The sequence below is a fragment of the Homo sapiens genome, chromosome 4 (assembly GCF_000001405.40).
Source record: "Homo sapiens chromosome 4, GRCh38.p14 Primary Assembly".
NCBI lineage: Eukaryota > Metazoa > Chordata > Mammalia > Primates > Hominidae > Homo > Homo sapiens.
Window position 1 is genome coordinate 99,293,862 of NC_000004.12, and position 10,625 is coordinate 99,304,486.

The window sequence follows — 10,625 nt, forward strand, 5'->3', positions numbered from 1 at the left end:
ATGGTCTTTCTCTACCCAGCCTGGTAGCTGAAGAAAAGGACATAATCTATTGGGGGTGCTATGGTCCTGCCCACGACCTGATCCTCCCTAGACTACCGTAGCTGAGGTGCTCTTGAAATCGTCACCTCCTGGCTGGAGGCCAACGAACACAAAACCAGCACGCTTAACAAAAATACATCCAAGGACCCTCACAGAATCCACTCCACTCTCCTGCTACCTCCACTGGAGAAGGTGCTGGTATCCATGGCCAAGAAACCTGAAGATGGATCACATCACAGGACTCTGAATACACTCCCCAGTACCAGTCCAAAGCCAGGTAGCTCCACTGGGTTGCTAGATCTAGAAGAGAAAAAGCAATAACTACAGTTCAGCTCTCAGGAAGCTCCATCTCTTGGGAAAAGGGGAGAGCACCACATCAAGGGAGCATCCTATAGGACAAAAGAATTTGAACAGCAGCCCTTGAGTCCTAGATCTTCCCTCTGATGTAATCTACCTAAATGAGAAGAAACCAGAAAAACAATTCTGGTAATATGACAAAATAAGATTCTTCAACACCCCCAAAAGATCCCGCTAGATTACCAGCCGTGGATCCAAACCAAGATGAAATCTCTGAATTGCCATAAAAAGAAATCAGAAGGTTGATTATCAAACCAATCAAGGAGGCACCAGAGAAAGGTGAAGTCCAACTTATAGTAATCAAAAAAACAATACAGGGTGTGAATGAGAAAATATCTAGTGAAATAGATAACATAAGAGAAAAACAATCAAAACTTCTGAAAACGAAGGACAGAGAGAATTGCAAAATGCATTGGAAAGTCTCAGCAATAGAGTCAAACAAGTAGAAAAAAGAACTTCTAAAAAACAAGGCTTTTAAATTAACACAATTAAACAAATACAAAGAAAAAAGAATATTTAAAAAAGGACAAAGCCTGCATGAAATTTGTGATTATGTTAAATGACCAAACCTCAGAATAATTGGTGTTACTGGAGAAGAAGAGAAATCTAAAAGTTGCAAAACATATTTGAGGGAATAAACAAGAGAAACGTCCCTGGCCTTGCTAGAGACCTAGATATCCAAATATCAGAAGCTCAAAGAACACCTGAGAAATTCATCACAAAAAGATCACCGCCTAGGCACATAGTCATCAGGTTATCTAAAGTCAAGACAAAGGGAAGAATCGTAAGAGCCGTGAGGCAAAAGCATCAAGTAACCTATGAAGGAAAACCTGTCAGATTAACAGCAGATTTCTCAGCAGAAACCCTACAAGCTAGAAGGGATTGGGGTCCTTTCTTTAGTCTCCTTAAACAAAACAATTACCAGCCAAGAATTTTGTGTCCAGCAAAACTAAGCTTCATAAATGAAGGAAAGTTACAGTCTTTTTCAGACAAATGCTGAGAGAATTCATCATTATTAAGCCAGCACTAAAAGAACTGCTAAAAGGAGCTCCAAATCTTGAAACAAATCCTGGAAACACATTAAAACAGAACCTCTTTAAAGCATAAATCTTACAGGACCTATACAACAACAACACAATGAAAAAAAAAACAAAGTATACAGGCAACAATGGCACGATGAATAGAATTGCGCCTCACATCTGAATACTAACGTTGAATGTAAATGGCCTAAATACTCCACTTAAAATATATAGAATGGCAGAATGGATAAGAATTCACCAACAAAGTACCTACTGTCTTCAAGAGACTCACCTGACACATAAGGACTCACATAAACTTAAGGTAAAGGGGTGGAAAAAGATATTCCATGCAAATGAAAACCAAAAGCAAGCAAGAGTAGCTATTCTTATATCAGACAAAACAAACTTGAAAGCAACAGAAGTTAAAAAAGACAAGGAGGTACATTATATAATGATAAAAGAAAGAACTATTTCAACAGGAAAATATCACAATCCTAAATATATAAGCACCTAACGCTGGAGGTCCCAAATTTACAAAACAATTACTACTAGACCTAAGAAATGAGATAGACAGCAATACAACAATAGTAGGAGACTTCAATACTCCACTGACAGCACTAGACAGGTCATCAAGACAGAAAGTCAACAAAGAACCAATGGATTTAAACTACAGCCTACAACAAATGGACTTACTGGATATTTATAGAACATTCTACCCAACAACTGCAGAATATACATTCTGTTCATCAGCACATGGAACATTCTCTAAGGTAGACCATACGATAGGTGAAAAAACAAGTCTCAATAAATTTAAGAAAATTGAAATTATGGCAAGTACTCTCTCAGACCACAGTGGAATAAAATTTGAAATAAACTCCAAAAGGAACCCTCAAAACCACGCAAATACATGAAAATTAAATTATCTGCTCCTGAATGGTCACTGGGCCAACAGTGAAATCAAGATGGAAATTAAAAAGTTATTTGAACTGAATGATAATAGTGTTACAACCTATCACAACCTCTGGGATACAGCAAAGTGATACCAGGAGGAAAGTTCATAGCATTCATTAAATGTCCACATCAAAAAGATTGAAAGAGCACAAATAGACAGACAATCTCAAGTCACACCTCAAGGAGCTAGAGAAACAGTAACAAACCAAACCCAAACCCAGCAGAAAAGAAATAACCAAGATCAGAGCAGAACTAAATGAAATTGAAACAAAAAAATACAAAAGATAAATTTTAAAAAGCTGTTTCTTTGAAAAATAATATTGATAGACCATTGACAAGATTAACCATGAAAAGAAGACGGACGATCCAAATAAGCTCAATTAGAAATGAAATGGGAAGAATTACAACCAATACCACAAAAATACAAAAGATCATTCAAGGCTACTATGAACAAGTTTTTGTGCATAAACTAGGAAACCTAGAGGAGATGGATAAATTCTTGGAAAGATACACCTGGCCTAGATTAAACCAGGAAGTAATAGAAACTCTGAAGAGACCAATAACAGCCCTGGACCAGACGGATTCACAGCTGAATTCTATGAAACATTCAAAGAAGAATTGGTACCAATCCTATCGACACTATTCCAAATGATAGAGAAAGAGAGAATCTTCCTTAAGTCATTCTATGAAGCCAGTGTCACCCTAATACCAAACCAGGAAAGGACATAACAAAAAAAGAAAACTACAGACCAGTATCTCTGATGAACATAGATACAAAAATTCTCAAAAAAATACTAGTGACGTGAATCCAACAGTATATCCAAAAGATAATCCACCATGAAAAGTGGGTTTCATACCAGGGACGCAGGGAAGGTTTAACATATACAAGTCAATAAATGTGAGACCAGTCATAAACAGAATTAAAAACAAAAATCACATGATCATGTCAATAGATGCAGAAAAAGCATTTGACAAAATCTAGCATGCTTTCTGATTAAAACCCTCAGCAAAATCGGCATAAAAGGGATATACCTTAAGGTAATAAAAGCCATTGACAACAAACCCACAGCCAACATAATACTGAATGGGGAAATTTGAAAGCCTTCCCCTGAGAAATGGAACAAGACAAGGGTGCCCACTTTCACCACTTTTATTCAATACAGTACTGCAAGTCTTAGAGCAATCGGATAAGAGAAAGAAATAAAGGGCATCCAAACCAGTAAAGAGGAAGTCAAACTGCTACTGTTTGCTGATGACATGATCGTATACATAGAAAACCCTAAAGACTCATCCATAAAGCTCCTAGAACTGGTAAATGAATTCAGCAAAGTTTCAGGATGTACACAAATCAGTAGCCCTGCTATATACCAACAGTGACCAAGCTGAGAATCAAATCAAGAACTCAACCCCTTTTACAATAGCTGCAAAAAAAATTTAAATACTTTAGAATATTCCTAACAAAGGAGGTGAAATACTTCTACAAGGAAAACTACAAAACACTGCTGAAAAAATCATAGATGACACAAACAAATGGAAACACATCTCCTGCTCATGAATGGGTAGAATCAATATTGTGAAAATGAACATACTGCCACAAGCAATCTGCAAATTTATTGAAATTCCCATCAAAATAGCACTGTCATTCTTCACAGAACTAGTAAAAACAATCTAAAATGCATATGGAACCAAAAAGTCCCCACATAGCAAAAGCAAGACTAAGGGAAAAGAACAAACCTGGAAGCATTACATTACCCAACTTCAAATTATACTATAATGCTATAGTCACTAAAACAGCATGGTACTCGTATAAAAACAGGCTTGTAGACCAATGGAACAGAATAGAGAACTCAGAAATAAACCCAGATACTTACAGCCAACTGATCTTTGACAAAGCAAACAAAAACGTAAAGTGGGGAAAGGACACCCTATTCAACAAATGGTGCTGGGATGGTTGGCAAGCCACATGTAGAAGAATGAAACAGGATCCTCATCTCTTAACTTACACAAAAATCAACTCAAGCTGGATCAAAGACTTATATCAAATACCTGAAATCATAAAAACTCTAGAAGATAACATTGGAAAAACCCTTCTAGACATTGGTTCAGGCAGAGACTTATGACCAAAAACCCAAAAGCAAATGCAACAAAAACAACGATAAATAGATGAGACTTAATTAAACTAAAAAGCTTCTGCACAGCAAGAGAAATAATTAGCAGATTAAGCAGACAACCCACAGAGTGGGAGAAAATCTTGGCAATCTATACATCTGACAAAGGACTAATATCAATAATCTACAAAGAACTCAAACAAATCAGCAAGAGAAAAACAAACAATCCCATTCAAAAGTGGGCTAAGGATGTGAGTAGGCAATTCTCAAATGAAAATAAACAAATGGCCAACAAACATATGAAAAAATGCTCAATATCGCTAATGATCAGGGAAATGCAAATCAAAACCACAATGTGATGCCTTCCTACTACTTCAAGAATGGCCATAATCAAAAAATCAAAAAATAATACTTGTTGGTGTGGATACAGTAAACAGGGAACACTTTGACACCGTTGGTTGGAATGTAAACTAGTGCAACCACTATGGAAAAAAGTGAGGGGATTCCTTAAAGAACTAAAAGAAAATCTACCATTTGATCCGGCAATTCCATTACTTGGTATCTACCCAGAGGAAAAGAAGTCATTATAAGAAAGAGATACTTGCACACGCATGTTTATAGTAGCACAATTCACAATTGCAAGAATATAGAGTCAGCCCAAATGCCCACCGATCATTGACTAGATAAAACACATACACACACAAACACTATGGAATACTACTCAGCCATAAAAAGGAACTAAATAATGGCACTGGCAGCAAGATGGGTGGAATTGGAGACCATTATTCTAAGTGAAGTAACTCAGGAATGAAAAACCAAATATCATATTTTCTCACTCATAAGTAGGAGATGAGCTATGAGGACACAAAGGCAAAAGAATGATACAATGGACTTTGAGGATTCAGTGATAAGGGTGGGAGGGAGGTCAGGGATAAAACCTAGTCACTATGTACAGTGTACATTGCTCAAGTTATGGGTGCACCAAAATCTCAGAAATCACCACCAAAGAACTTATTCATGTGACCAAACACCACCTGTTCCCCCAAAACCTATTGAAATAGAAAAAATAAATAAATAAAAGTAAAAAACCTGTTATCAATCCCAAAATAAAATTATCAGTTACCCCCCAAAAAGGATTTATCAAGAAAGATGAGATGGAATTGAAAGGTATATATGCAATCAACAGTATGGACAAATAATATTGAATACATTTTTTCCCTTTCATACACCCTTTTATTCATTTTTCTGTTTAATCATCTCTCGCATATGGAGACCTAGCATTTAAGGGAATTATAGCCACTACCACCTTGTTTTCAAGGCCATAATGAATTTGGAAATGTGGTATCCACTTATGAGCTTCCATCACATTTTGAGCATATGGCTCCATGAAATACCGAAAGCACTTTGGGATAAACTCCATACAGTCAGGAGATCTTTCTTAATACCATCTGGCAACTACTCTGTGCTTACTCTTTGTCCCACCTTCTAAACGTTTAGATGGGCAGGTGGGAAGAGCAGTTGCCACATTATTGAAAGCCAGTGTTCTAGTATCAGAGGGCCATAGCAGGCCCTCTGGAGCAACATCTGGAATGTCCACAGGTAACCCTGTCAATCTCTGGGGATCACAGGGCATCACTTTCCTCTACTTCTCTCTCTATGTGTGTCTCTGCAAGCCAACCTGATTCTATATTACATTTTCACAAAGTACCATATTCTAAATTTAGCTTATCCAGGGAGATGATATACTTGATTCACTTTGGGGGAGTGATCCTCTGCCTGGTAGGCAGAATAATGGCCCTCAAAGAAGTCCGCTCCCAATCCCTGGAATCTAGAAATATGTTGCTTTACAGGGCAAAAATGGATTTTGTAGATATGATTCAGTTAAAGGTCTTGGGATGGGAAGATTAGCTTGGATTATCCAGGTGAACCTAATCTAATCTTATGGCTTCTTAAAATTGATGAGCTTTTCCAGGCTGAGATCAAAGACGGAGATGTGCCTACCCGCAGATCCTAGATGGCCATGTTTGCAACAGAGGTGTGTTAATTTTCTATTGCTGACGTAACAAATTACCACAAGCTCTCTTGGAAGGTTAGTGGAAGGCAAGGATTGGCATCTCTAATATAATTATACAGGTAATGATGAGCAGTGCGAAGATGTGACTCCAAAGCCTGGAGAAGGACAGACCAGCATCCCTGCAAGAGATCCAACTGTCTTCTTTTCCGCAGAGGTCCATAATTTACATGGGCCTGACAAAGAATACTGTAACTTGCAGAAATTATCTTCAGTTCAAATCCTTCATTTTGGGGGTTAAATAACTTGGTAAGATAATGAGATTAATATTATTGTAAAGATTGCTAGAAAGAATTGTAACAGTTCATGTATGTGCATAAATAACAACCTTAAAGCATGTTTTGGGATGAGGTGCAAAATGAAAATTGGGAGAGGGACTTTAGTAGCAGTAAACAGAACTTGAGAATGGAATAGATGCATACTCTATAGCACACTGCAATAAATAGAATACATTTTAAGTTCCTAGAGAAATTTTTGAAAATGCCACATTCAAAGCCATCAATCCCTACTCAATTAGCATTTCATTTTGATTTTGGTACTGAAGCCCAAGATGTCGAGGGAGCGGAAATACTTGCTGGTCTTGCAGCGGCTGTGGAGCCTGGAATCCTGCCAAGAAGAGCATGTGTGAGAGATCAAAATGTTTGCTTACATTCCTCCTGTGAAGGGAGTTGGGAAATAACCTAAGAAGCCCAATCCAAAAACAAAGATGTACCATCCAGTCTTCTCTGTGAGAACCAAACTACAAACCATCTGAATGTTCCAAAAGTGTTTTGATGATGTATTGATGTATTTTAAATTATCCTGAAAATGTTCTTGGCAGATGCTTAAACATGTAATTACTGAGATGATGTAGAAATACCAAGTGTTTATTAAAACAATACAGAGTAATACAAATGGTATGTTTGTCGCAATATAAAAGTATCTAAAAATTAAAGAGTTCTTTAATGGTGGAGATTGTTTTCCTTTTTGAAGTTAAAATATAAATTTTTGTAAAAAGCACAAATTATTACTATTTATAGCTAACATTTATGGAGTGCTGACTATGCTCATTTTTGAGCATACATTGCCTCATTTAGTGCAATGTTTAGCATTAACTTATGAGGTAAATGCCATTGCCATGCACATTGTACAGATGAAGACATTGAGGTTTAGAGAGATTGCATCAATTTCCCAATGTAACACAGCTAGTGGTGGGGCCAGGATTCCACGAAGCCTAACTCTAGAGTTTAATAACCTAAAGAATAATAGGTAATATCCTTGCCACTCTCAGCATGTGCCAGTTGCTGTTCCAAATGGTTGGTTCAAATTATGTACTCATGTAAACCTCAGAATAACTCTATGAGGTAGGTTCTACTATTATTTTCATAGACACATATTTTATATGTCTATGTCAGCTTTAAAGCCACTTTTGAGTTTTTTAGCATATTTTTGAGAACACGTCAACTTTATTTCCGTTTAAATTGCTTGAGACACACCATGATTGTTGATACAGTCTCTGGAAATTTTATTCCCAGCTGCGTATCTCTCTGGAGCCTTTGACTTACTCCCATGTGGGCGGGAGGTGCTTTGCCTCTGGCCACACCTGCCATCCTGGAGCCTCCTCACCCTAGTCCTGGGGAATCCCTTCCCTCTCCCCAGGGTGAGAGCATCAGCTTGTCAGATATCACACCTTTCTTTGAATCATCAGTTTGGGGGCACTTCATTAGTTATCGTCTGGAGAAAAGGTACACCACGGCATAAATTTATTGAGATCTTTTATGTTTCTATTGGATTTCTACTCTGCTGTGATGATTTTCAATTCTCAATTGCCCTCTTGGGCCCCAGAGTGCTGGCAGCTGGGCATGTGTCTTCTGCACGGAAACTTCCAAAATCATCCTTTGAAAAATCTGACCAGCCCAAGAGAAAATACCCACCCTTACTGACATTATATTCCCCAGCAATTAATCCCACCAGAGAGTTCTATAGCAAATCTCACATGACACAGATGCCACCCATGTATTCAGAGCTTCCCGATAGCTCGTTAGTGCCCCATCCTGCAACAGAAGACAACCAAGATCATCAGAAATGTGGAGTGATTCCAGCTTTGTAATAGGAAAGATAGAAACAAAGCAAAGAAAAAAGAAGTTAGAAGAAATAATCCATGAAGTGAAAAAATACAAAATGTTTTTAAAAGCTGTTATTATTTACAAAGAGAAAAGATATATGCATGAAAGAAGACTATGATATCATAAAAAAAAAAAAAAAATCTCTTGAGAATTGAGCGCAGGCGCGGTGGCTCACGCCTGTAATCCCAGCGCTTTGGGAGGCCGAGGCGGGCGGATCACGAGGTTAGGTAATCGAAACCATCCTGGTTAACACGGTGAAACCCCGCCTCTACTAAAAATACACACACAAAAAATTAGCCGGGCATGGTGGCGCGCGCCTGTAGTCCCAGCTGCTCGGGAGGCTGAGGCAGGAGAATGGCGTGAACCCGGGAGGTGGAGCTTGCAGTGAGACGAGATATCGCGCCACTGCACTCCAGCCTGGGCCAGAGCGAGATTCCGTCTCAAAAAAAAAATCCAATTATAAGCGTCTTGGGAGAAAAAAGGCAAAATCCAGGACTACCCAGGTAACCAAGTAACTCCAAAAGCTTGTTTGCATTAATCTTGCGAGTCTATAGCCAAAAATCTATTTGACCTTATAATAATTTCATGTTTAATAGCTCTGAAAGTTTTCTATTAAGGCCTAGGAGAATTTTCTTATATCCAGACTTATATGTCTGCCATTGATAATCTTAGGTTCCTGAATGATCCAGTAAGAAAAACATTTCTTTTTTTTTTTTTTTTTTTTTTGAGACGGAGTCTCGCTCTGTCGCCCAGGCTGGAGTGCAGTGGCGGGATCTCGGCTCACTGCAAGCTCCGCCTCCCGGGTTCACGCCATTCTCCTGCCTCAGCCACCCAAGTAGCTGGGACTACAGGCGCCCGCCACTACGCCCGGCTAATTTTTTGTATTTTTAGTAGAGACGGGGTTTCACCGTAAGAAAAACATTTCTATGACTCTATGAGTAATATCATCCCAAGGCTTTAGAGGTGGCTGTGATAGTTTATATTATTTTGACCTTTATGTGGTCAGTTTTTTTTTTTAAGTGATTAAAATCTCAATTACAGTACCTTTAAATTAGTTCACAATTACATATACATGTTGGCAGCTAGAATCTTTCATTACTGTTTCTTTATGAGGTAAAAAAGTAATAAAGTCATAAATCTCATCATAACTGACAATATTGATGTCAAGCTCCTACAAATGATTAAAGAATGCGATTGACATTCTTGAAGAAATTGTTAAAGTTCATTGTCCTGCCTCTATTCAAGACTTTCAAAAATAGTATGTAAAGAAATTACATAATATTAGTTCAAAACAGTTATGGCTCAAAAGTTAACTTTAGTTTTTCAACTCTTTTCAGATCCAGGTTTCTGAGGGGAACAGCCTGTTTTATACATTTCTATGTCTTTCTCCATGCTCATATGAACCTATATACTAATAAATAGGAATTTTAATTTGTTTTGTTTTTTCTTTCACAAAAATTGGATCATGTAATACACATTATTCTGTACCTTGCTTTTTATACTTTCTGATGCTTCATATTAATTTCTCCAGATTTTTAGATAAAATTTTTTTTTTGAAATGAGGACTTGCTTTGTTGCCCAAGCTGGAGTGCAATGGTGCCATCATGGCTCACTGCAACCTGTGCCTCCTGGGCTCCAGCGATCCTCCCACCTCAGCCTCCCAAGTAGCTGGGAATACAGTTGCATGCCACTATGCCTGGCTAATTTTTGTGTTTTTTTGTAAAGACAGGTTTTTGCCATGTTGTCCAGGCTAGTCTGGAACTCCTGAGCTCAAGTGATCCACCTGCCTCGGCCTCCCAAAGCACCGGGGTTACAGGTATGAGCCACAATGCCCAGTCCCCTATTTTTTTTTTTTTAATAAGATTCCCATTCAAGGCCGGGCGCGGTGGCTCACGCTTGTAATCCCAGCACTTTCGGAGGCCGAGGCGAGCGGATCACGAGGTCAGGAGATCGAGACCATCCTGGCTAATACTGT

The 10,625-nt window shown here is 38.3% G+C and overlaps 1 long non-coding RNA gene across 1 annotated transcript in view; it reads left to right on the forward strand.

Annotated features, from left to right (window-relative positions):
• LOC100507053 (uncharacterized) overlaps positions 1-7,495 on the forward strand; it is a 212,500-nt gene extending 205,005 nt beyond the window's left edge. The window contains exons 8-10 of the long non-coding RNA NR_037884.1: positions 6,438-6,509; positions 6,608-6,794; positions 7,090-7,495. This is a non-coding gene — a long non-coding RNA (uncharacterized LOC100507053). The remainder of the gene's footprint in view (positions 1-6,437; positions 6,510-6,607; positions 6,795-7,089) is intronic.